This window comes from Homo sapiens, chromosome 14 (genome assembly GCF_000001405.40).
Source record: "Homo sapiens chromosome 14, GRCh38.p14 Primary Assembly".
NCBI classification, from domain to species: domain Eukaryota; kingdom Metazoa; phylum Chordata; class Mammalia; order Primates; family Hominidae; genus Homo; species Homo sapiens.
The window spans coordinates 58395713-58422113 of record NC_000014.9 but is presented as its reverse complement, the minus strand read 5'-3'; the positions used below and the strand labels follow the sequence as shown (position 1 = coordinate 58422113).

Sequence of the window (26401 nt, the reverse complement as noted above, 5' to 3'; positions counted from 1 at the left end):
TTTCATACTTTCTGTCTCTCTGACCTCGGGTTGATAAGTCAATAAATAAGAATTTTAACCCAAAGAAATACAAGGATGGAATTAAAAAAAAAAAAAAAAAGAACAGATTTTGGCATTATAAGAAGGAAATCAGCTCTGTGTTATTTTTTGATGTGAACTGTAGAAAGTCCAGTTTGCTGGGTGTCCTCCTGAGGTGCAGTGAGTGTACTGTCCTTATTCGACAATTCAAAAGGCTCAGGTCTAGTAGATGACCTTTTGAACTTTCAGCTAGGAGCCTATTGGTAAACAAAGTTCCTTAATGCATATTTTATTACCCTTGTATTTTTTTTCAAGTTCTCACAAAACAGTGATTTCATTTAATACTTCTTTAGAAGTTGTTTTACCAGTTCTTAGATCTTTTCAGACTGTTTTCTGAGTGGGAATCCAGAAGAACTCTAGCTTGGAATGCTTGCTAACAGTATCTACCACGCTGCATGTTGTTCTTTGGCAGGTACCAGAAAGTTATACAATAACATTTTTTTTCTTTATTATTAAACTTTTTATTTTGAGGTTAGTGTGGATTGAAATACACTTCCAACAATTAACACAAAGGTCCCCTGTGTCCTTTACCCAGTTTTCCACAATGGTAACATCTTACAAAACTGGAGTACAATGTCACTCACATCCAGGATACTAATATTGATACAATCAAGATACAGAATATTTCTATTACAAAGGTCTTGTGTTGCCTTCTTATAGCAACACCTACTTTCTTCCTACTCCTTCCCTCATCCATTCCTTAACCCTTGGCAACCATATGTTCTTCATTTCTGCAATTCTGTTATTTCAAGAATGTTGTATAAGTGGAATTATACAGTATTTAACTTTTTAGGATTGGCTTTTTTCCTCAGCAGAATTTTCCAGGCTTTTGCAAGTATCAATACCTCATCCTTTTTATTGCTGAATAGTATTACAGGTATAGATGTACCAATTTGTTTAACCATTCACCCACTGAAGAACATTTGGGTTTTCAGTTTTTGATTATTAAGAATAGAGTTTCTACAAACATTCACATATAGGATTTCCTGTGAACACAAATTTTCATTTCTCTAGGACAGATGCCCAGGAATGCAATTGCAGGGTTATATGGGAGATGAATGTATAACTTCTTTAGAAACTGCCAAACTCTTTACATTCCCAACAGGAATATGTAAGTGATTCAGTTTTTCCATGTCCTCACTAGCATTTGGTATTGCCACTGTTTTTGTTTTTTTGTTTTGTTTTGTTTTTATGTTAGCCATTCTGATAGGTATATAGCTTGTTTTTTTTTTTTTTTTTTTTGAGATGGATTTTTGCTCTCGTCACCCAGGTTGGAGTGCAGTGGCGTGATCCCGGCTCACTGCAACCTCCACCTCCTGGGTTCAAGCAATTCTCTTGCCTCAGCCACCCGAGTAGCTGGGACCACAGGCATGCACCACCATGCCCGGCTAACTTTTGTATTTTTAGTAGAGATGGGGTTTCACCACGTTGGCCAGGCTAGTCTCAAACTCCTGACCTCAGGTGATCTGCCCGCCTCAGCCTCCGAAAGTGCTGGGATTACAGGCGTGAGCCACCGCACCCAGCAGCTTGTTTTGGTTTTAATTTGCATTTCCCTAATGGCTAATGATGTTGAACATCTTTTCAGGTACTTATTAGCCATATGTATTTCCTTTTTGCTGAAATACCTTTTTACGGCTCTTGCTTGTTTTCTAATTGGATTGTTTGTGTTTTTACTGCTGGGGTTTGAGAGTTCTTTATATCTTCTGCTTATTAGTTCTTTGTCAGTTATGTAGTTTGCAAATATTTCCTCCTGGTCTGTAGCTTTTCATCCTCTCAATGTTCTTTCATAAAGCAAAAGTTTTTAATTTTTTAATTTCATTTTTAATTTTCATGAAGTCTAATTTATTAATTTTTCCTCTTATAGTGTTTTTGATGTCAAATATAAGAACTCTTTGCCTAGCCCTAAAGCCAGATTTTCTAATATTTTTCTAAAAGTTTTAGTAGTTGGCCAATCATGGTGGCTTACGCCTGTAATCCCAGCCCTGTGGGAGGTGGAGATGGGAGGGCTGCTTAAGTCCAGGAGTTGAGACAGCCTGGGCAACATGGTGAGACCCTGTGTTTATTAAAAATAAATAAAAGTTTTAGTAGTTTTATATTTTACATTAAATTCCTGATCCTTTTTTTAGAGAGAGGGTCTGTCACCCAGGCTGGAGTGCAGTGGCACAATCTTGGCTCACTGCAGCCTCTGCCTCCTGGGCGCAATCCATCCTTCCTACCTCAGCCTCTTGAGTAGCTGGGACTACAGGTATGTGCCACCATGCCCAGCTAAAATTTTTTTTGTGTGTGTATTTTTGGTAAAGACGGGGTTTGTCATGTTACCCAGGCTGGTCTCAAATTCCTGGCCTCAAGCCATCTGCCAACCTTGGCCTCCCAAAGTGCTAGAATTCCAGGCATGAGCCACCATGCCTGGCCCCCCAATCCATTTTGAGTTAATTTTTGTATTAGGTGAGAAACTTAGTTCTCACATCTTTTTTTCCCAAAAATCAGTTGGGCAGGAGTGTATTTTTGTGTGTGTGTGTGTGTATGTGTTTGTGTGTGTGTGTGTGTGTGTGTGTGTGTGTGTGTGTGTGTGTGTGTGTGTGTGACGGGGTCTCACTCTATTTTCCAGACTGGAGCGTAGTGGCGCAACCATGGCTTACTGCAGCCTCTACCTCCCAGGCTCAAATGATTCTCCTGCCTCAGACTCCCAGGTAACTGGGACTACAGGCATGTGACACCATGCCCAGCTAATTTTCTTAATTATTTGTACAGACAAGGTCTCGCTGTGTTGCCCAGGTTGTTCTTGAACTCCTGGGCTCAAGCAATTCTCCCTTCTTGGCCTCCCAAAGTGCTGGGATTACAGGTGTGAGCCACCTCACCTGGCCAGTTGGGTTTTTTGGTGTTAATCTGTTATTAGATTCTTTGTTATGTTCCACTGACTATTTGTCTGTCCCTCCACCAGTGGCACACAGCATTGATTATTGTAGGCTCTTTATGTCTTGAAATCAGGTAGACCAATTCCTCTCACTTTATTCTTCATTTTTCAAATTTGTTTTAGCTATTCTGGTCCCTTTGCTTTTTATATAAATTTTATATAAATTTCCATATAAATTTGTGTATATTTATAAGAAATCTTGTTAGGACCTTGATAGAAATTGCAATAAGCCCGTATATCAGCCTTAAGAAAATTGGCATTCTTACTATATTGAGTCTTCTGATCTCTGAACACACAGTATGTCTCTCTGTGTGTTTAGGTCTTTGCCTTCTTTTGTCAGCATTTGGTAGTTTTCCACATACAAGTCCGTACATGTTTTGTTAGATTTGCCCCTAAATCTTTTTTTTTCTTTGAGTAATTGTAAATGATATTGTATTTTTACTTTCAGTATACATGTGTTCATTGATGGTATATAGAAATACAATTGATTTTTTAAATATACTTATTGTGTATACTGGACACTGCTGAACTTAATTAATTCTAGGAGTTTATTTGTAGATTCTTTCGATTTTGCATGTTCATAATTATATTACATGCAAACAGGAACAGTTTTGTTTTTTCTTTTACAATCTTTATGTCTGTTTCCTTTTCTTGCTTCACTGCACTGGGTAGAACTTTCAGCAGTATGTTAGATAAGAGTGGTGAGAGTGGACATCTGTCCTTGCTCACAATCTTATGGGAAAGTATTATCTTTTGCCATTAAGTATAGTGTAGGCTGTAGGTTTTTTTGTACATGCTGTTTATCAAATTGATCTTCCTTTTTTTCTGAGATATTTTGCTATGAATGGGTATTGCATTTTTTCAGATACTTTTTCTGCATCAATGTTTATGATCATTTGGTTTTTCTTCTTCAGTCTATTAATATGTGGACTTAAACGGATTAATTTTCAAATATTAAACCAGTCTTGCATCCCTGGAATAAACCCTTCTTGGTCAAGTTGTATAATTCTTTTTATATATTGCTGAATTATATTTGCTAATATTAATAGTAATAGACTTTTTTATATCTTTCATGAGGGATATTTTTATGGTTTTCTTTTTTGTACTGTCTTTGCCTGGTTTTAATATCAGGATAATACTAACTTCATAAAGAAGTTGTCAGGTTTATGTATGTAGAGTTGTTTGTAATATTCCTGTATCCTTTTGGTGTCTGCAAAACCTGTAGTAATGTACACCCTGTTTCATTCCTGATGTATAATTTGTGTCTTCTCTCTTGCTAGTAGGTTTGTCAGTTTTATTAATCTTTTCAAAGAACTAGCTCTTTCTTTTTTCTCTTTTCATTTAAATTGATCTCTGCTCTTTATTTCCTTCATTGGGTTCATTTTGCTCTTCTTTTTTAGGTGCTTGAGGTAGGAGGAGCTTGGATTACTGATTTAAGACCTTCCTTCCTTCCTACCTTCCTTCCTTCCTTTCTTCCTCCCTCCCTCCCTCCCTCCCTTCCCTCCTTCCCTAAGTCCCTCCCTCCCTCCCACGCTCCTTTCCCTCCCTCCCACGCTCCTTTCCCTCTCTCCCTCCCCTTTCTTCCTTCCTTACCTCCACTTCCTTTTTTTTTTTTTTTTTTTTAACAGGGTCTTGCTGTTTTATCTGAGCTGGAATGCAATGGCATGATCATAGCTCACTGCAGCCTTAAACTCCTTGGCTCAGGCAATCCTGCCTCAACCTCCAAGTAGCTGGGGGTATAGGACATGCCACCATGCCCAGCTACTTTTCTTTCTTTTCTCTTTTCTTTTCTTTTCTCTCTTTCTTTTCTTTTTTTGGAGAGAGAAGGTATCACTATGTTGCCCAGTGTATTAGTCCATTTTCACACTGCTGGTAAAGACATACCCTAGACTGGGCAATTTACAAAAGAAAGAGGTTTAATGGACTTACAGTTCCACATGGCTGGGGAGGCCTCACAATCATGGCTGAAGGCAAGGAGGAGCAAGTCACATCTTACATGGATGGCAGAAGGCAAAGAGAGAGAACTTGTGTAGGGGATCTCCTCTTGATAAAACCGTCAGATCTTGGGAGACTTATTCACTATCATGAGAACAGCATGGGAAAGACTTGCCCCCATGATTCAATTACCTCCCACCAGGTCCCTCCCACAACACTTGGGAATTCAAGATGAGATTTGGGTGGGGACATAGCCAAACCATATCACCCAGGCTGGTCTTGAACTCCAGAGCCCAAGGAATTCTCCCACCTCAGCCTCCCAAAGTGCTGAGATTACAGGCATGAGCCACGACACCTGGCCTTTTTCCTTTTCTAATGTATGCATTTAGTACTAAAACTTTTTCTCATGGCACTGATTTAGTTTATCACCATGTAATGATGTCAGCATATTACCAGTTCAAGTGAAGTATAGAAACCTTAATTGTCTACATACATTTAGAACCACAATAGATGGTTTTATAATTTTTGCTTCAACCGACAAACATAATTTAGGAAACTCAAGAGAAGTGTATTGTACCTATTACTGTGTTTTCCTCCTTGATGTTCCAGGACTACTACTTTTATCATTTTCTTCGTTTAGAAACTTGAGCGATTATTTTAGGTAGCTATGCTGGTAACACATTTTCTTAGTTTTCCTACATTTGAGAATGTCTTGATTTCTCCTTTATTTCTCAAGGTTGTTTTCACTAGATACAGGTTTCTGCATTGACAGTTGTTTTCCTTTAGCACTTGAAACATTTTGTGCCACTTCCTTGTGGCCTCCATAGTTTCTAAAGAAAAATCTGCTTTCATCCTAATGGTTTTACCCCTACAGGCAAGATATAGTTTTTCACTTGCTGCTTTCAATGGCTTTTTGTCTTTATTTTTTATTTTATTTATTGTTATTTATTTATTTATTTGCTACAGAGTCTCACTCTGTCACCCAGGCTGGAATGCACTGACATGATCTTGGCTCACTGCAACCTCTGCCTCCTGGGTTCAAGCAATTCTCGTGCCTCAGCCACCTGAGTAGCTGGGATTACAGGTGTGTGCCACCACGGCCAGCTGCTTTTTGTATTTTTTTTTTTTTTTTCAGTAGGGACGGGGTTTCACCATGTTGACCAGGCTGGTCATGAACTCCTGACCTCAATCGACCCACCCGCTTTGGCCTCCCAAAGTGCTAGGATTATAGACGTGAGGCACTGCGCTCAGCCTTGTCTTTAGTTTTCAGATGTTTGACTATTATGTGTCGATGTAGGTTTCATCGGGTTTATGCTGTTTGGGGTTTGTTCAGCTTTTTGAATCTGTAGGTTTATGTCTTTTGCCAAACTTGGGGAGTTTTCAGCCATTATTTCTTCCACTACTTTTACTACCCTACCCTTTTCTTCCTCTCCTTCTTGGACTCTAATGAGACAAAATATTCACTTTTTTATACTTCTACAAGTCCTTTGTACTCTGTTAATGTTTTTCATTCTGTTTTTCTCTGTAATTCAGGTTGAAGAATTCTATTTTCTGGCTTCCAATTCACTGATTCCTCTGTCCCCTCCATTCTCCTATTGATTTTATTCATTGAGTTTATTTTGGTTATTGTATTTTTCACTTCTTAAACTTTCCATTTGGGTCTTGATATCTTCTATTTCTTTGCTGAGACCTTCTGTTTTTTCATTTGTTTCAAGTGTGTTCATAATTGCTCACTGAAGTATTTACAAGGTGCTATTTAAAAATCTTTGTCAGATAATCCTAACACATATTAATCAATGTTGAGCATCTGTTGTCTTTTTTTAATTCAGTTTGAGATCTTCCTAGTTCTTGGTGTGATGAGTGATTTTTTAATATATTGTAGCCTGGACATCTTGCATATCATGTTATGAGGCTCTAGATGTTATTTAATCATTTTATCTGGCTCCTTTTGACAATGCTCCATGAGGGGAAGTGGTGGGAGGTACCACTTCATTACTGCCAGGTGGAAGTAGAAATTCATCTTCCTCACTCTGACACTTGAAGGGAGGGGCAGGGAGTTTCTTGTTACTGCTAGGTGGAGTAGGCATTCTGGCTCCTCACCAGGCTTCCACTGATAACTCCCTGGCTGGGAAGGACTACAGTGCTTTGTTACTCTCCCCATGTGGCCTCCACTGACATTACAGCAGGGTACATGGCCTAATTGTCATGAGGCAGTAATGCAAGTCCTGAATGTCAAGTAGGCCTCCTTAGATACCACCCCAGAGTAGATGGAGATGGGTACCTCATTACTGCCAATTGGGGTGGAAAGCCAGGCTCCCTGTGTGGTTTCCACTGACACTCGCTGGGGAGTGGGGAGGCTTTTCTGTGCATACGAAGGAAATGACATTTTTTTAAATGTCAGTAGTTATTGTGAATTTCTTTCTTTCTTTTTTTTCTTTTTTTTTTTTTTTGAGATGGCGTCTCACTATGCGGTGCAGGCTGGAGTACAGTGCTGCAATCTCGGCTCACTGCAACCTCCGCCCAAGGGGTCAAGCAGTTCTCCTGCCTCAGCCTCCTGAGTAGCTGGGATTACAGGCATAAGCCACCATGCCCGGCTAATTTTTGTATTTTCAGTAGAGATGCGGTTTCACTATGCTGTCCAGGCTTGTCTCCAACTCTTGACCTCAGGTGATCCACCTGCCTCAGCCTCCCAAAGTGCTGGGATTACAAGTGTGAGCCACCGTGCCCAGCCTAGTTATTGTGATTTTATAGGATAAGAAAAAAGGAGGAAAGTATAGGTATGGTTGAGACTGGTGGAATGGAATTACTGTTGATTGTATGTGTTAATCAAAAGCAGAATGTTAATTTTTTTTTGTGATGGTGGCATACACTTTGTCCTAAACTTGAATTTACTACTAGTTTCAACGAACTTCATAAAAATTAGTTTCAACAAAGCTTCATAAAGAATTTATGTTTTCCAGAGATACTTTAATAATTGATAAGCTAATAAAAATTTGCACATCCAGTTTATCATTTTTGTTTTGGTTATCAGAAAACTCTTAACTAAATAAAATGTATAGCATTTATGTTAGTCTACAGTGTACATGATTCATGTTTTCCTTTTACATGCTGTTTAATTTCTGTTTCAAACAGCTTTATTTTATACAAACCTTTTTTTTTTTTTTTTTTTTTTTTTTTTCTGAGACGGAATCTCACTCTGTCACCCAGGCCGGAGTGCAGTGGTGCAATCTCGGCTCACTGCAAGCTCCACCTCCCGGGTTCACGCCATTCTTCTGCCTCAGCCTCCCAAGTAGCTAGGACTCCAGGCGCCCACCACCACGCCCAGCTAATTTTTTGTATTTTTAGTAAAGACGGGGTTTCACTGTGTTAGCCAGGATGGTCTCGATCTCCTGACCTCGTAATCTGCCCGCCTCAGCCTCCCAAAGTGCTGGGATTACAGGCGTGAGCCACCACGCCCAGCCTATACAAATACAAATCTTTTATATGAAATGCTCAACCTTTTTAGAACTAGCCAGGATATAGTAAATAAATAATGTTATACACATTCTTATATCTAGATTAACTGAACCTAAGTCCTACATTTAGGATATGTGAAAATCTCAGGAATTCAGAAAGGCTTTTTTATTTACTTGTCTTCCCTTCCCTGTTGCCGCCACGTTAGATTATAATTAGAAGTCTCTGATTAGTCTCTGTGATTGCCCTTTTTGAACTAGAGAATGTGTAGTAGAATGTATAATTCCTGTAACTTTCTTTTAAAACTCTGAATATCCTTCATGAGGGTTGTCAATTTCTAAGCAAATGGTGTTTGTTAACTGGTGTTTGTTAACTATTAATAGAACCTTTGTATTTACATTGTAAAAGGATCATTAGTAGTAAGGGTCAGAGTTAAATTAGCAACTAATTTTAAGTGTATTTGGAGTGGCTCAGATATATGAATCTACTTTTTCAACAATAGATTTTATTAAATCTAAATATAGGCCAAGTATTTCTGATGAAAATTTAGCATTCAAATTGAGATGTGGTGTAAGTGTAAAATGCTCACCAAAATCAAAGACTTACTACCAGAAAAGGAACGTAAAATGTCTTATTAATACTTTTTATGTGATTGTATGTTGAAATGTTAAAATCTTTGATATTTTTGATGTATTCGACTGAGTATAATAGTAAAAAATTTAAAATAAGCAATTTGGTGACTAGTGGAATAGTTAAGTAATTTTAGGAAAACAGCAAAAATCTCTTGATTTCCTTTATTTTTCTTTTTATTATCATTATTATTATTATTATTTGAGATGGAGTCTCACTTTGTCACCCAGGCTGGAGTGCAGTGGTGTGATCTTGGCTCACTGTAACCTCAACGTCCTGAGTTCAAGCGATTCTCCTGCCTCAGCTTCCCAAGTAGCTGGGACCACAGGCACATGACACCACGTCTGGCCAATTTTTGTATTTTTTGTAGAGATAGGGTTTCACTATGTTGGCCAGGCTGGTTTTGAACTCCTGACCTCAAGTGATCCACATGTCTTGGCCTCCCAAAGTGCTGGGATTACAGGCATGAGCCACCACACCCAGCTTTTTTTAATTATTTTTTTAAGCCCAAACTTCACCATCTTGGTTTCCTTTATAACCCTCCTAGGAATGGGGCTTTAAACAAGCAGCTTAGCAAGGTAGCAGAGCAAACTATCTTAAAACTGGAGATTTTGATAGACAGGGCCTTTGAGTCCCAAACTAGCATTAGAAAATCTAATTCTCTGGCCGGGCACGGCGGCTAACGCCTGTAATCCCAGCACTTTGGGAAGCCGAGGCAGGCGGATCATGAGGTTAAGAGATCGAGACCATCCTTGCCAACATGGTGAAACCCCATCTCTACTAAAAATACAAAAATTAGCTGGGCATGGTGGTGTGTGCCTGTAGTCCTAGCTACTCAGGAGGCTGAGGCAGGAGAATTGCTTGAACCCGGAGGCAGAGGTTGCAGTGAGCCAAGATGGCGCCACTGCGCTCCAGCCTGGTGACAGAGTGAGACTCCGTCTCAAAAAAAAAAAGAAAATCTAATTCTCAACTGTAAGGTTCTATGGTCATTAATGATCTGAGAAATTGGGGGTGGTGGCATACAATTACATACACAGATTTATAAAATACGAGCAGTGATTCCCTAACTCTTCAGTTAGACTAAAAACATTTGTTTATAGATTGACAAACTTGTTTTGAATTTTTAAATTAGGTGACTAATAAAGGTACCAGAAGAATATGGCTGCACAAATACCAGAATCTGATCAGATAAAACAGGTAAGGTATTCTAATTAAGGGGAAAAGATTTTGCAAAAAAATGTAAGGTGCTACTAATGCCACCATGTCAGGCTGGGTGCAGTGGCTCACATCTGTAATCCCAGCACGTTGGGAGGCCCAGGTGGGTGGATCACATGAAGTCAGGAGTTCAAGACCAGCCTGGCCAACATGGTGAAACTCCGTCTCCTAAAAATACAAAAATTAGCTGGGCGTGCTGGCGCACACCTCTAGTCCCAGCTACGTGGGAGGCTGAGGCACAGGAATTGCTTGACCCAGGAAGCAGAGGCTGCAGTGAGCCGAGATCGTGGCATTGCACTCCAGCCTGGGTGACAGAGCAAGACTCCATCTCAAAAAAAAAAACCATGTCAGTGGTTTCACAAAACAATTGTTTCTATTTCATTTCCAAAATGGATATTAAATGTTATAAAGTGTACGTATTTTTCTTGTTCTTTTTTTTTTTGGACACAGTCTCTCTTTGTCGGCCAGGCTGGAGTGCAGTGGCACGATCTTGGTTCACTGCAACCTCCATCTCCCGGGCCCAAGCAATTCTCCTGCCTCAGCCTCCTGAGTAGCTGGGATTACAGGCATGCGCCACCACGCCTGGCTAATTTTTGTATTTTTATTAGAGACAGGGTTTCACCATGTTGGCCAGGCTGGTCTCGAACTCCTGACCTCAGGTAATCCGCCCACCTCGGCCTCCCAAAGTGCTGGGATTACAGGCATGAGCTACCGCACCCGGCCAAGCATATGTATTTTTAATCTGACTGATAATCAAGGAAAAATTAAATATTCAACTAGAAAATAAAACTATTCTGTAGATCATACTGTACCCATTTAAGTTAGCATAATAACTATGATTTCAAGTGTTATAGTATATTTTGTCTAAATATAAAATACCAGTAATTTAAGTTTCAAAGCATCTTTGTTTTAAAAACCAAATACTAAAGAACATTCTGGTTTGTTTGTAGTTTAAGGAATTTCTGGGGACCTACAATAAACTTACAGAGACCTGCTTTTTGGACTGTGTTAAAGACTTCACAACAAGAGAAGTAAAACCTGAAGAGGTATGAAAAGTGTTACTCACTAAAATTCTACAAGCCTTCATAAACACTCTAAGTAGGATCCCCTTAAGCATTTCACTTGTTCCTACTTATTACAGGAATTTAGACTACCTTTTATGTTCCATTGCTTGGAAGAACTGAAGCAGCCACTGAACCACGGCATTGAGTTTAACAGTGCCAAATTTAATGACAGTTACATTGTACCAAGTCAGACCATTTTAGAGAAGATGCCTGCAGCTGCTGAGTTACTGTTTCACAACAAAGATTCTTACTAATTAGCTTTCAGCCAAGATGGCCTACCTAGAGAAACTTGGCACAGCCTTTCTGTATGGCCCTGGGAATTCTGGTTGGCTTTGGAAAAAACAAAGCTTGACTTTGGTGGCTCATATTGAAAACCTCATCCTATTAGAAGTCTTAACTATTTTTTTAAGACAGGGTCTCGCTCTGTTACCCAGGCTGGAGTGCAATGGCATAATCATAGCTCACTGTAACTTTGAACTCCCAGCACATTGGGAGGTCAAGGCAGGTGGATCACTTGAGCCCAGGAGTTCGAAACCAGCCTCGGCAACATGGTGAAACCCTGTCTTTACAAAAAATACAAAAAAAAATTAGCTAGACATGTTGGTACATGCCTGTGGTCCCAGCTACTCGGGAGCTGAGGTGAGAGGGTCACCTGAGCCCGGGAGGCAGAGGTTGCAGTGAGCTGTGATTGCACCACTGCACTCTAGCCTGGGCGACAGAGCAAGACCCTGTCAACAACAACAACAACAAAAAGCACCAGCCCTCATCTCTACTAAAAAATAAAATGAAAAATTAGCCAGGCGTGGTGGTGTGTGCCTGTAGTCTCAGCTACTCCAGGGGCTGAGGTAGGAGGATCACTTAAGCCCAGGAGGTTGAGGCCACAGTGAGGCACTGCACTCCACCCTGGGCAACAGAGAGAGAACCTGTCTCAAAAAAATAAATAAATAGGCTGGGCGCGGTGGCTCACGCCTGGAACTTCAGCACATTGGGAGGCTGAGGCAGGCGGATCACGAGGTCAGGAGATCAAGACCATCCTGGCTAACACAGTGAAACCCCGTCTCTACTAAAAATACAAAAAATTAGCCAGGCATGGTGGCAGGCACCTGTAGTCCCAGCTACTCGGGATGCTGAGGCAGGAGAATGGCGTGAACTCAGGAGGCGGAGCTTGCAGTGAGCCGAGATCACGCCACTGCACTCAAGCCTGGGTGACACAGCGAGACTCCCTCTCAAAAATAAATAAATAAATAAATAAAATTAAAATAAGTAAAAGGTTGAGAATTAAGAATGTTGTTTTCTCATTAAAAAGGAACAAACTTACTACTGGGTCTACATTTTAATAATCGAAACAAGAAGACAGGAATGTGGGCTTTCACTTAATACACTTGCAGAAAATCTAGTCCAGAAGCTTTTTGAAAACAGAGACTTATCATTGCTCTTAGTGACTACAAACTGGCAGGCATTCAATATATATTAATGCTTGTCAGTGAATGAAAGTATCAATTAAAAGCTATGGTCAGTTGCTGCCAATTAGTACTATTTAATTCTCAGATATATTCAAAGAAAAGCAAACTACCCCACTGATTCTTTTAGAATACATGCATTTTAAAAAATTCATATTTTTGTGTTGCCTCTTGGATCTTCCCTTTTCATTCCTAGACCACCTGTTCAGAACATTGCTTACAGAAATATTTAAAAATGACACAAAGAATATCCATGAGATTTCAGGAATATCATATTCAGCAGAATGAAGCCCTGGCAGCCAAAGCAGGACTCCTTGGCCAACCACGATAGAGAAGTCCTGATGGATGAACTTTTGATGAAAGATTGCCAACAGCTGCTTTATTGGAAATGAGGACTCATCTGATAGAATCCCCTGAAAGCAGTAGCCACCATGTTCAACCATCTGTCATGACTGTTTGGCAAATGGAAACCGCTGGAGAAACAAAATTGCTATTTACCAGGAATAATCACAATAGAAGGTCTTATTGTTCAGTGAAATAATAAGATGCAACATTTGTTGAGGCCTTATGATTCAGCAGCTTGGTCACTTGATTAGAAAAATAAACCATTGTTTCTTCAATTGTGACTGTTAATTTTAAAGCAACTTATGTGTTCGATCATGTATGAGATAGAAAAATTTTTATTACTCAAAGTAAAATAAATGGAAATATCACTGAGCAGTTGTTTATACTGTATGGTACCATAGTATTCTCACTGGACTGTGGATACGTTGAAATGTTTTTCAATCAGGATCATCCTCCAAGCAGTCCTGTTCATTCATGTCTGCCTCAAATTGCTGGTGAATACATAAAATAGTTACTTGCTAATCATTTCAATGCATGATCCTTTTCTTGCCTCCCTTGTGTCAGGGTGGGCATTACATATACTTTTCTTTTTTTTTTTTTTTGAGACGGAGTTTTGCTTTCGTCACCCAGGATGGAGTGCAACGGCACAATCTCAGCTCACTGCAACCTCCACCTCCCCAGTTCAAGCAATTCTGCTGCTTCAGCCTCCCAAGTAGCTGGGATTACAGGTGTGTGCCACCATGCCCGGCTAACTTTTGTATTTTTAGTAGAAATGGGGTTTCACCACATTGGCCAGGCTGGTCTCGAACTTCTGACCTCAGGTGATCCGCCTGCCTCAGCCTCCCAAAGTGCTAGGATTACAGGCGTGAGCCACCGCGCCTGGCCACATATCTTACCTACATTTTCGTATATCTTCAGGAAACAATCCCATCTGCCCTAGTTTGGGAATGTTTAAGAGTTGACTGTTATACTGTAATGGAGTTCATGTTTGTGTTTTGTTCAAAAGCTGACAGTCAAATATGATAGATTCCAAGGCTTGCCAATGATAAAAAGGGAACCAAAGTTAATGTCTTATGCCTAATGAATCCTGAAATGAATCCAAGCATTTGCAGGAAATTCTAGTTGATGCATACATACACCAAGCAGTTTAGTAAAATGGAAGTGGACTAAAACTTACTAATCAACTGGCTTATGAATGGATTTCATTTGATACCATTTTAAACCTATATTTAAGAGAATGCTAATTAGCCTGTATGTTTAAATTTACCAAAGTGATTTCTATGTTTTGTATGTTAATGGAAGTAGAAGCAATGTTCTGCTTTAAAATTGAACTGTTGAAATACGGATAATACAAGAAAATATACAATTTATTATAGTCAAAGGAAAATGAAGAATAGGCTTGCTTCGTGTTAAAGCAGCCAAAAATTCAGAGATTTCACTTATTTAAGATTTTGGGCAATTCACACACATACTTTGATATTTCTGTGTAGTCAAGCATAACATAGCTATTTACTGTGTACATTTCACAAAGATAATTAAATATGTGCTCACCTGGCAAATAAGGGGAATTTTGTGCAACAGCATCTCAAATACCTTGGGAGGGAGAGTGTGTTTGAAAACTTTCAGAAGTTCCCGTGGTTGCTCGCACACTAAAAGGGCATTGCCGAGGTGTTGAATCCCCATTCTGTGCTCTCCTGAAACAGAATGACAAGTTTTGAGCAAAATTTTGAAGTTCTTTAAAACAGACATTCTACAAATCCAAGAAAGCAACAAGCATTAAAAATTAAAAGCATATCCAACTAAAGACTACTTAGACAAGTCTTGTGAAGAGTAGAGTACAAATATGAGGAAGATGTTGAGCTTCACAGTGGTGAAGCGGCAATATTAATTTTGAGCCAAATTACAGCAAGTATACTCTTACTGTTTAGAAGTATACTCTTGCATTGGAAATGCTCGTGTTCTATAATTTGGGTATGGAGGGAAGAGGATACTGAGGTTTTTTGTAAGCAGTTGTCTGCTTTTATTAATATCTGATAGGTTATCTTTACATGTGTGATTGAAAAAATATTATAGATGAAACATCTGATGTTCCAGCTAAATGGAACTTAAAAAAAATAGATTTCACTATCAAAGAGTTGAAACAAGATGTAGTGTAACATGAATTACATACCCCAGGGAAAAAAATAAGAGATTTATGAACTCTGATTTCTAAGCACAGTTTTAAAGTGAGTTTTAGGATGATTGGCTTTGAAGTAACAACAAATGAAAATATGTGAAGAGTGAAAATTAATCATAGGATTTCTGTTTAAGTTAGAACATGGAATGACTTTAATCCCACTCCCTTGTTTTACTTTAAGGAAACAGGCAAAGATCAGTGAAATGATGTATAGTTTCAATGCTGATTAATGCTAGCCTTAGGAATATAATCTAATTTTCTGACCCTTGAGACTAGAGTACTGCCTCTTTTCAGGTATTCGGTAATCACAGGAGTTGAAATATTGACATACTTCATATAACTAGGTAGAAAATAAAATATGGCCCTACAGGTAAGTATAATAATAGATTTTTATTAGCTGAAACTAGTTTTCCATTTATCAGTTGAAATACATGGTTATAGGAAGAGAATAGTGCGTGACAGAAAAAAATGCTTTCCAAAGATTTGTATTAAGCTTGAACAATAGGGATATGTCCTGATTTAAATACATTAATTTTACATTTTCAACATAAGATATAATGGTGCCTGTTCTGAAGATTGGTGGTGCTAACAATACAAAACAATCAATTTGGTCAAATAATTCAACCAACCAATAAATTCAATCATACCAGCTACTCAGAAATTTCAATCAAAATTATTGGCCCTATGGTCTCATATAGATATAGCCACCGTTGAGATGGCTACAGAACTGTATTTTACCTGACAGAAAATGACGAAAATTGTGGGTGATAGCAAAGGGGAGTGGAGAAAGTTAAGAAGACTGCAGAAAACTGGGTGAAAAATTGCCACATTGGATAGAATACTGTACTGGTTGGTTCTCAATGTTTTAGTAACCCAGGGAGATTTTTAAAAAAAATATTGACACCTGGGTTCCAGCCCCATAGATTCTGATTTAATTGGTTTGGGGTTTGATGAAGAATTAAAGAATAAGCAGCCAAGACCGAGAACTGCAATATAAGTAAAATATGGAAGTATAAAACTTCTGTAAAGAACTATTAGGGGGGTGGGTGTGGTGGCTCACGCCTGTAATCCCAACACTTTGGGAGGCTGAGGAGGGCGAATCACTTGAGGTCAGTTCGAGACCAGCCTGGCCAACATGGCAAAACCCAGTCTCTGCTAAAAATGGAAAAATTAGCCAGGCATGGTGGCACACACCTGTATAATCCCAGCTACTTGGGAGGCTGAGACACGAGAATTGCTTGAACCCGGAAGGCTAAGCCAAGATCATGCCACTGCACTCCAGCGTGGGTGACAGAGTGAGACACTGTCCCCAAAAAATAAAAAAGCTATTAAATAATTTCACAGTTTAAAATTTAAAAACCCAAGTTTGCAACTTATGTTCAGATCACCTCTAAATCTAATTAAACTATTACATCATAGCTCTTAAGCATACAGTGAATAGGAATAAAATGTGATGATAAAATACGTTATCATCTTTTTTCTTCTGACTTATAATTCAGAACTTTCTTTCCCACAATTTGAGGGCCCTTGTTTACAAAAAAGAATATAAAATTATGAGTACAAAATTACTAGGGGTGGCTGGGCGCGGTGGCTCATGCCTGTAATCCCAGCACTTTGGGAGGCCAAGGCGGGTGGATCACTTGAGGCCAGGAGTTTGAGACCAGCCTGACCAACATGGTGAAACCCTGTGTCTACTAAGAATACAAAATTAGCTGGGCGTGGTGGTGCACGCCTGTAATCCCAGCTACTTAGGAGGCTGAGGCCGGAGAATCGCTTGAACCTGGAAGGCAGAGGTTGCAATGGGCTGAGATGGCGCCATTGCACTCCAGCCTGGGCAACAAGAGTGAAACTCCATCTCAAAAAAAAAAAAAAAAATTGCTAGGGGGCCTTAGAGGCCTATGCAAATAAAAGTCTTTAGACATAAGCTTCACTGGTTTATGTAAAGTCACTTCTGTTTATAATCATTTAAGTCAGTTCTAACTGTACATTTTGTCATCAATATTTAGCAGGTATTTTTAGTCCATTTCAAAAATTACTCCATCTAAAAGCAAAAATCGTTAATATTTAGCAGGCATTTTTAGTCCATTCAAAAATTACTCCATCTGAAAGCAAAGATCAATACTAAATGAAAAATTAAAATACAAATTACAGTGATTAATGTGCAGTGATTTTGAATGCCTGCAACTTTTTCATTTCTCAAAACCTTTATAATGGTTTTAAGCCACTGAATAAAAATCTCCGTCATTGCTGTGAGTTGTCTAGGATTTTGACTTCCTCTTTGTTTTTATAAATCCTGGAGGATGCTCCTTACAGATTAAAAAAAAAAACCTTTTGAAAAAAAACAACAACAGAAAGGCAAAAACAGGTACAGGCACTGTGATATGCAAGGGAGTTTGTAACACTTAAAAAATATATGGCCGGGCGCGGTGGCTCACGCCTGTAATCCCAGCACTTTGGGAGGCCGAGGCGGGCGGATCACGAGGTCAGGAGATCGAGACCATCCCGGCTAAAACGGTGAAACCCCGTCTCTACTAAAAATACAAAAAATTAGCCGGGCGTAGTGGTGGGCGCCTGTAGTCCCAGCTACTTGGGAGGCTGAGGCAGGAGAATGGTGTGAACCCGGGAGGCGGAGCTTGCAGTGAGCCGAGATCCCGCCACTGCACTCCAGCCTGGGCGACAGAGCGAGACTCCGTCTCCAAAAAAAAAAAAAAAAAAAAAAAAAAATATATATATATATATATATACATATATATGTATATATACATTGTACTGATGGGTGTAATGCTGATTTATCCAGCAATATCAGTTACTTCTTAAATTAAGAAACCTCAAGACAAATTTTCCTTTCCAGGGTTTAACACCAGAATAAGGACATTATGATTATAATATTTATACAATAATAATATTATCTACCATCATTTTGCCTGACAATATTATGAAGTTTTCTCAAATCCATCTGGAATTAGGTAGGAATAAATTATTTATTTATTTATTTATTTAATTTTTGAGCCGGAGTCTCGCTCTGTCGCCCAGGCTGGAGTGCAGTCGTGCGATCTCGGCTCACTGCAAGCTCCGCCTCCCGGGTTCACACCATTCTCCTGCCTCAGCCTCCCAAGTAGCTGGGACTACAGGCGCCCACCACCATGCCCGGCTAAGTTTTTGTATTTTTAGTAGAGACAGGGTTTCACCGTGTTAGCCAGGATGGTCTCAATCTCCTGACCTCATGATCCGCCCACCTCGGCCTCCCAAAGTGCTGGGATTACAGGCGTTAGCCACCGTGCCCTGCCGGTAGGAATAAATTATAACTCAAAATATGACCATTAAGTGTAAGGTAGCCCCGACAGGCATCACTCCACTAAACACAGTAAAAGAATGGACATTCATAGGGAATTAATTTATCAACAAAGTAAATAAGTATTAAGAATATTCTAAGAAAGCAGGAACATTTTTATAAAGCAGTTAGAATTTTTTAAAGTTGTTTTGTTTTCTTGAGACAGAGTCTCTGTCTCCCAGGCTGGAGTATAGTGGCAAGATGATGGCTCACTGCAACCTCAAACCCCTGGGCTCAAGTGATCCTCTCACCTCAGCCTTCTGAGTAGCTGGGACTACAGGCACATGCCATGGTACCCAACTAATTTTTAAAGTTTTTTGTAGAGACAGGGTCTTGCTTTGTTGCCCAGGCTGTTCTCAAACTGTTGGCCTCAAGCAATCCTCTTGCCTTGGCCTCCCAAAGTGTTGGGATTACAGGTATGAGCCACCACACCTGGCAAAAAGTTTTTATTCTTAACATTTAGTCACTTGGAAAACTCACTGACTTAGAATTTTATATAACAATAAATGAGGTATTTTTGTATTTGGCTTTGCTACTCCGTTTGCCCACTTCCAAGTCTACGACTTGAGCACTAAATGCTAACATAATTCAAGAGTACAGTATGATGAAGTGAACATGCTGGGATAGTTTTTCTTTAATGAGGGGAGTTGGCTAACACATCCAGCTAGTTATTTGACATACAAATACTAATCAATAAATATTTCTCAAGTATAAGCTGTCATAACTCACAAAAGAACATTTACATTCTTACCTCTAGATAACCAAAGTTCTCCCATCCGTACCTCTTGCAAGAAAAGTTCTTGCAACTTTTTATTCTTCGTTGGATCCCACAACTAAAATATTCATAAAATATTCAACAATGAGTAATGAAGGTAAGGTATATGGCTACTGATCAAATTATTTTTTATTTAAAAAGGACATCTTGGGCCAGATGCGGTGGCTCACACCTGTAATCCCAACACTTTGGGAGGCCGAGGCAGGCAGATCACCTGAGGTCGGGAGTTCGAGACCAGCCTGACCAACATGGAGAAACCCCATCTCTACTAAAAATACAAAATTAGCCAGGTGTGGTGGTGCATGCCTGTAATCCCAGCTACTCAGGAGGCCGAGGCAGGAGAATTGCTTGAACCTGGGAGGCAGAGGTTGCAATGGGCCAAGATCACACCATTGCACTCTAGCCTGGACAACAAGAGTGAAACTCCATCACAAAAAAGAAAGAAAGGAAAAAAAAAAGGACATCTTGAACCTAGTCTCTAAATCCAAAGTATGACAAATGTAGTTGTTCTTTATAATATTTAAACCAATTTTCTAAAATGGGATTATTTTAAGTGTTTTAAAAAAACATGAAATATTTGTTAGGTTGAGATGCTTATAATAAATAACTCTCATACCAAATTTTACCCAGCCACATATAGCATAAATCCTACTGTAGTTAATATAACAAAGGTAGTTTTGTATGTTGCAAAATTATTTTCTTGCCCAGGATATTAACAGTGCCTGTTGATTTGGTTGCATGATTTCTCTGGCTTACAAGGTCATTTTGGTCTTTTAGTTGTGAGACCTGTTCATGTAGCAGTAACTCTCTAATCGGGGAAACAAAAAACTATGCTAAGCCTTCTGTACTCACACCCTCAAAAGGAAAGGGACAAAGGACCTGGTTGGGGGTTGGCAGGGGAGTGAGTGTTCAGAAGGATGCTTTGGTTTACTGCGGTTGGTTCATGAAGGCGACCATGGCCACAAGATGGCATCATCATTGGTACTACACCTAGGGTTGGTCTTTCAAGGTACACTGTGCAAAGCCTAGCCCAAAATATCAACTCCACTGCCAGTTACTTCAGCTCCAGTGTTTCAAATCTGTAAGGTTTTTGTTTTTGTTTTCCCCCACTAATTTTCTTTTTAAAATGCAATGAGCCTGGAAAGGGGTCACCTTTTTTTTTTTTTTTGAGACAGAGTCTTGCTCTGTCGCCCAGGCTGGAGTGCAGTGGTGCAATCTCAGCTCACTGCAAGCTCCGCCTCCCAGGTTCACGCCATTCTCCTGCTTCAGTCTCCCGAGTAGCTGGGGCTATAGGTGCCCATCACCACGCCCAGCTAATTCTTGTATTTTTAGTAGAGATGGGGTTTCACCTTGTTAGCTAGGATGGTCTCGATCTCCTGACTTTGTGATCCGCCCACCTCGGCCTCCCAAAGTGCTAGGATTACAGGCGTGAGCCACCATGCCCAGCCAGGGGTCACCTTTTAAGCTTGTATTATCAAATATACTAATAATCAGTAACATCAGAGGTTTTACTCAATAGATGTTTAGTGAGCACTGGCAAGGGCAGGACACTCAAGGAAAAGCTGGAAGGAATTGGAGACCAAGACCCCTGTGCCCATCCCCAAGGAGCCACAGTCTAATAAAGGGAAAGTGATCATGTAGGTACAAGACGAAGTCCAATGTCCTCTGGGGCTCAAAGTACAGAGACATTACATCTAGTTGGAGAATTGTCAAAGGCTTCTCAGAAAAGATAGTGTTTGAGATGTGGTTCAGTGAAAGTTTGATGAGGAAAGTATAAGCAACGCAAAATTGCAGGGAACATAGCAAGTGAACTTAATTAGCTAGATTATGATAGGGTAAATGTTTGTTTGTTTGTTTTTTGAGACAGAGTCTTGCTCTGTTGCCCAAGCTGGAGTGCAGTGGTGCAGTCTTGACTCACTGCAACCTCTGCCTCTCGGGTTCAAGTGATTCTCCTGCCTCAGCCTCCTGAGTAGCTGGGATTACAGGTGCACGCCACTATGCCCAGCCAATTTTTGTATTTTTAGTAGAGACGGGGTTTCACCATGTTGGTCAGGCTGCTCTCAAACTCCTGACCTCGTGATCCACCCACCTCGGCCTCCCAAAGTGCTGGGATTACAGGCCTGAGCCACCGCGCCGGCCATAATAGGGTAAATGTAGCAACAATATTACCATTATTGAAGGCCAGCTATAAACTAGGAACTTTACATATATTATTTCCAATCCCTAGGAAAATAAGGCAGTCAATCGGAATAGGCAGCCATCAAAGGCATAGCGCCAAGCTGAGACTGTTTTTTTTTTTTTCTTTTTTTTTTTTTGGAGACAGAGTCTCACTCTGTTGCCCAGGCTGGAGTGCAGTGGTGTGATCTTGGCTCACTGCAACTTTCAGCTCACTGCAACCTCTGTCTCCCAGGTTCAAGCGATTCTCTTGCCTCAGCCTCCCAGGGACCTGGGACTATAGGCGTGCGCCACCATGCCTGGCTAATTTTGCATTTTTAGTAGAGATGGGGTTTCACCATGTTGGCCAGACTGGTCTTGAACTCCTGACCTCAGGTGATCCAACCACCTCAGCCTCTCAAAGTGCTGGGATTACAAGTGTGAGCCACTGTACCCAGCAAAGCTGGTCTTTAATCTGCAGAGTAGGGAGCTACTGCAAGGAATTACATATTCAGAGCTGCCATTTAGAAGAAATTTACTCTAACAGCATAAGAATAGAGGCAGGGTGGCAAGTTAGGAAACTATTACAATAACCTGGGTAAAAGGTAATAAAAGCCTTTAGTTGCAGGGAAGTAATAGAAATAGACAAGTGGAATATATATATATATATATATATATATATATATATATATATATATGCAATAGAGCATTTGAAAATAAGAATTGGTCATTGTTTATGATGGATGAAGTTGATATTTAAACAAGATGAGTCAGGGTCACAGCAGGGAGGCTAGTGATACCAGGAGCATCATAAGGAAACAGGAGTAGGCACAGTGGCAAGGTGGGGGAGATGATGAATTTACTTCGGGACACACTAAGGTGAGGTGCCAACAGAATGTCCAGATGACAGAGTCTGGTAGGCAGATGAAACTTGGGACACCAGGTCTAGAGTAGTACATTTGAAATCACTTTTGGAGAAGGGAAAGATCTTCTAGGGAGAGGGGGAAGAATACAGAACCCAAGGCCCATGTTTCACAAAGCATCACCTGAAGGAGCTGTTAAAACTGCAGTTTCTTGGACTCCACCCAGACCTACTGAATCAATCTCTGGGAGTAGGGCCCAGGAATTTGCATTTTTAAACAAACTCTTCAGGTGATTCTTATGGATCCTAAAGTCTGACAGTCACTGTGCCAGTAAGAATTCCCCAGGCTACTGGATCAGAATTGCTGGGATCAGGGTCAAATAATCCATATTTTAACAGATGCTCCAGGTAAATGTAATGCAGCAATGGACCATACTTTGGGAAAGTCCTGGGAAGAAGAGGAAGAAAGACCCTAGAAAAAGTGAGAAGAGACTCTTTATCTGCTTTGGTTTATTCATGTGTAAAATGAGAATAGAGGCCAGGCACAGTGGCTCCCTCGTGTAATCCCAACACTTCAGGAGGCCAAGGCCGGCAGACTGCTTGAGCTCAGGAGTTCAAGACCAGCCTGGGCAATGTTGCGAAACCCATCTCTGTAAAAGTACAAAAACTAGCCAGGCATGGTGGTATGCACCTGTAGTCCCAGCTATTTAGGAGACTGAGGTGGGAGAATCACCTAACCCCAAAAGGGTTGAGGCTGCAGTGAGCTGTGATCATTGCCACTGTACTCCAGCCTGGGCAACAGAGTGAGACCCTGTGTCAAAAAAAAAAAAATTAGAATAGAGTTGTGACAATTATATGAAAGGACATTTGAAAATCCTGCTTGTGCTGCTTCTTCACTTGAAATAATTTATTATTTCATATATGGGAAATAATATTAACAATTTATTATTAATAATTATTGATTTATATCAATAAATGATAGTGTGACTTAGTTATGGCTTAATATGAATATAATTAGATTATATTATAATTAAAATATGATTAATTTATATTAATATAAATCATTTATTATTTCCCATATGAACTGCCATTGACTGATTTTCTTGTCTTCAACTTCCTTTCTCCACACTGGAACCAGAATTGTCTTATTTAAAAAATAAAACCAAAATAATTGTGTCTGTTCTCTGAAATAAAGTCACCATCATTAGTTATCCACCACAACAGAAAAATGTCCTGACTTTTCAGTTTGGCATTCAAAGTCCTCCACGGTAAGACACTAAACTGACCCTCAGCTATCTCTCTGGCCATAATACTCCTTGAACATTACAATTTCATGTTCTGTGCCTCTGCACAAGGTGTTTCCCTCTGCCTACAATGAACAACAATATTCAACAAACATTTGCTGGGCACCTACCGCACTAGACTCTGTTCTAGGCACTGGAAACAATGGAGAGTAAAAAACAAAGTCTGCCCTCACACAGCTTAGTGTAATAAACGGAAAGCATTAATCAAATAATTACACAAATGTGCAAGTGAAACCATGGACAATGACGAGGGACATGGAGCTGTATCAGGCTCTGTCTCAGTCAAGTCAGGGAAGGTATCTCCACTCCCATGTCCAGCTCTTTGGACACTCCCTACCCAGCTAACTATGTCAAATGGGCTTTTATTCTCTACTGTGATTCCATTTTGAAACCCCGGAAGTGTCTTTGACTCCGCCTCTCCATTACCCTTTACTCAGTCGGCATGAACTGTATTCTTCCCAGTTACCACTACCACCACCATAGTTCAGGATTTTTATTACCTCTCAACTAAATTGCTGCAATAGCTTGTTTTCTTTTCCAATCCATTAAGTACACTCCTGCTTGATCAATCTAAGAATATTTCTCTTCTGCCTTTCTTTCCTTCTTTTTAAAAAATTCCTGCTTAGAAATCTTCAGTAATTCCTCCATTGAATCTCAGTTCCTTAACCTGGCCTTCAAAGCAAGCCTTCCCTAATTCAATCCTACTTTCGCTCTCCAACCTTACCACCCACTATTCCTCAGTATGACTCCTTTGCCAAACTGGTTTACTGAATGTGCTTGGCAGATGCCCCACTTTGCATCTTTATGCACATGCTGTTCCCTCCATCCTGTATCCTCTCCCCTGAAACCAAGCCACAAATTCATCATCCTTCCAGGCTCAGTTCAATGCCACTTCCGCTACAAAGTCTTCTCCGGAAAAACTGCATGTTTCAAAAATGGCTACCGCAATATTCCCGGTCACACAAGTGCTTTCAAAACCTTGCCATCCCTGTTGAGAGGTAGAATCTATTTCCTCTCCCTTTAAATTGAGTAGGCTTCAATGTTGCCAGAAGTGGTACCATCTGCTCTTCCACATGGGCACATGTTCTAGTTCACATGCATGTGCGTGCTCTCTCTATACACAGACACACACACACACACATATATATACACACATACATATATGTGTTTGCTTGTCCCTTGGGACACAGCCCATCACACAAATGAAGAATCCCAGATCACACAGACGTGTAGGTGCTCTGGCTAACAATCTCAGCTAAGTAAACATCCAGCATCAACTGCGGATTGCTTGTGGCCAGGAGTTCTAGTTCAGCCTGGGCAACATAGGAACACCCTTGTCTCTTTCTTTTTTTATAGACAGTGTCTTGCTCTGTCGCCCAGGCTGCAACTGCCACCTCCCGGACTCAAGCAATTCTCCTGCCTCAGTCTCCCAAGTAGCTGAGACTACAGGCACACGCCACCACTCCCGGCTAATTTTTGTATTTTTAGTAGAGACAGGCTTTCACCATGTTGGCCAGGCTGGTCTCAAACTCCTGACCTCACGTGATCTGCCCGCCTTGCCTCCCAAAGTGCTGGGATTACAGGCGTGAGCCACCAAGCCCGGCCCGCCTCTTAAAAACAACAAAAAAGGGACTAATCAAATTTTGCCGCAGAGATTTACAAAACACGAAGATGCCTTCTGCTTCTGAGCTACAAGAAAGGCCCTGCGGGAGAACAATCTAGAAGTTACTGCCATGTGACCGTGGCCAGCCTGGGTTTTTAAGTGTCCTGTGCGGCTCTGACAGGGCAAAAGGCTCCTCTTCCTTCTTCCAGTTAAAAGAAGTGCCTGTTGTACAGTGTTTTGCTTTGCAGCTGCCTTTTTATAACTCCAACTTCTTCCTCCTTCCTTCCCTCCCTTTTGTGAGAGGAGAGTGACTGGGCCTGAGGCGGTGCGTGGCGCGCGAGGGCAGGCCTCTTCCCGGGCACGGGCGGCTGAGGGAACTAACTACCTGCTGCCGAGCCCGCCAGGAGCCAAGCAACCCAGCGAGCCCGGACCTGCGTCTACTGAGCTACCTGTGCGGATCGAAAGCACTGCACCTGCGTGCCCTGCTCCTCAGCCTTTTGAGGCTCTGCTCTTCTTTCTGCGAACACAACACGGCACATGCTGGCTGGGAGGCCCGTCCAGAGGCACGCGTGGGCCCAGTGGTCCTGCCTGCCCGGGCGCCGCGGGCCCCTCGGCAGAGGCTGAGGCACTCACGGCCCGGCCTCTCAGTGGGGGGCCCTCCCGGCCGGCAGCCCGCCCGCGCTGCCCGGCCCGGCCGCGCCTCCGCCTCGGTCCCACTCACTGTCCCGCAGGCGGCGCTTGAACGCGGGGTCCCCGCGCCGCTTCCGGTTGAGGTAAATACAATAGCCCAGGAAGGCGAAGGCGCCACAGGCCGCCGCGGCGGCCAAGAGGCGGAGGAGGGAGCGGACGGAGGGCATCCGACCGCGGGCGTCCCACAAGCCGAGCGTTGGGCGCGGGCCGGCCGGCAGGGGGCGTCGGCGCGGCGGCCCATCCGGCCTCGGGGCCTCCTGCGCACCCAGCTGCGCGTTGACGCCTCGCACCCAGGCTTGCGGACCGATGAGGAAGCCGAGCGTTCGAGAGGGTGTGTGCGGGAGCCCTCACAGCCACAGAGTAGCAGAGCTCTGTTCGAACCTACGTCTGTCGCACTCCAAATTCTGAACCC

The 26401-nt window shown here is 41.2% G+C and overlaps 2 protein-coding genes across 17 annotated transcripts in view, besides 2 other annotated features; one reads left to right on the top strand and one right to left on the bottom strand.

The window, feature by feature from the left end:
• Positions 1-13620, top strand: part of TIMM9 (translocase of inner mitochondrial membrane 9) — a 19038-nt gene extending 5418 nt beyond the window's left edge. For 3 of the 13 annotated variants that reach the window (NM_001304487.2, NM_001304485.2, NM_012460.4), the window contains 3 exons: positions 10143-10207; positions 11176-11271; positions 12946-13619. In NM_001304487.2, the coding sequence (NP_001291416.1) occupies positions 10169-10207; positions 11176-11271; positions 12946-13080 (270 nt within the window). In that variant the 5' untranslated portion in view covers positions 10143-10168 and the 3' untranslated portion in view covers positions 13081-13619. Of the gene's footprint in view, positions 1-10142; positions 10208-11175; positions 11272-12945 lie in introns of all 13 variants that reach the window. The other 10 variants (XM_047431264.1, NM_001304486.1, NM_001304491.1 and 7 more) reach the window with 8 other exon arrangements.
• On the bottom strand, positions 5034-26184 carry TOMM20L (translocase of outer mitochondrial membrane 20 like). 4 transcript variants are annotated; one of them, XM_011536743.3, is made up of 5 exons: positions 26021-26184; positions 25749-25816; positions 19353-19434; positions 14646-14788; positions 5034-5071 (listed from the first exon to the last, which is right to left on the bottom strand). In XM_011536743.3, exons 1-5 carry the CDS (start codon positions 26154-26156, stop codon positions 5069-5071), a joined length of 432 nt encoding a protein of 143 aa, XP_011535045.1. In that variant the 5' UTR covers positions 26157-26184; the 3' UTR covers positions 5034-5068. The 4 variants fall into 4 exon arrangements, with proteins under 4 accessions (XP_011535045.1, XP_011535044.1, NP_997260.1 ...); XM_011536742.4 differs by lacking the exon at positions 5034-5071 and adding an exon at positions 13412-13585; NM_207377.3 differs by lacking the exon at positions 5034-5071 and adding an exon at positions 13412-13585 and having other exon boundaries at positions 25773-25816.
• Positions 25737-25786: a silencer, noted in NCBI's record as "silent region_5800". NCBI's record gives its function as "represses an Ori minimal core promoter by ATAC-STARR-seq in GM12878 lymphoblastoid cells {active_cell/tissue: GM12878}" and the evidence as "EXISTENCE:reporter gene assay evidence [ECO:0000049][PMID:35858748]".
• Positions 25857-26376: a silencer, noted in NCBI's record as "silent region_5799". NCBI's record gives its function as "represses an Ori minimal core promoter by ATAC-STARR-seq in GM12878 lymphoblastoid cells {active_cell/tissue: GM12878}" and the evidence as "EXISTENCE:reporter gene assay evidence [ECO:0000049][PMID:35858748]".

Excerpts from the sequence above, each read along its gene's own strand:
- TOMM20L (XM_011536742.4), bottom strand. The coding sequence starts at position 26,156 with ATGCCCTCCGTCCGCTCCCTCCTCCGCCTCTTGGCCGCCGCGGCGGCC. Across the intron at positions 25,817-26,020 it reads CAAGCGCCGCCTGCGGGACA|AAAGAAGAGCAGAGCCTCAA; the intron begins GTGAGTGGGACC and ends TTGTGTTCGCAG. Across the intron at positions 13,586-14,645 it reads AAATTCCCCTTATTTGCCAG|CAATTTGAGGCAGACATGAA; the intron begins GTGAGCACATAT and ends TGTATTCACCAG.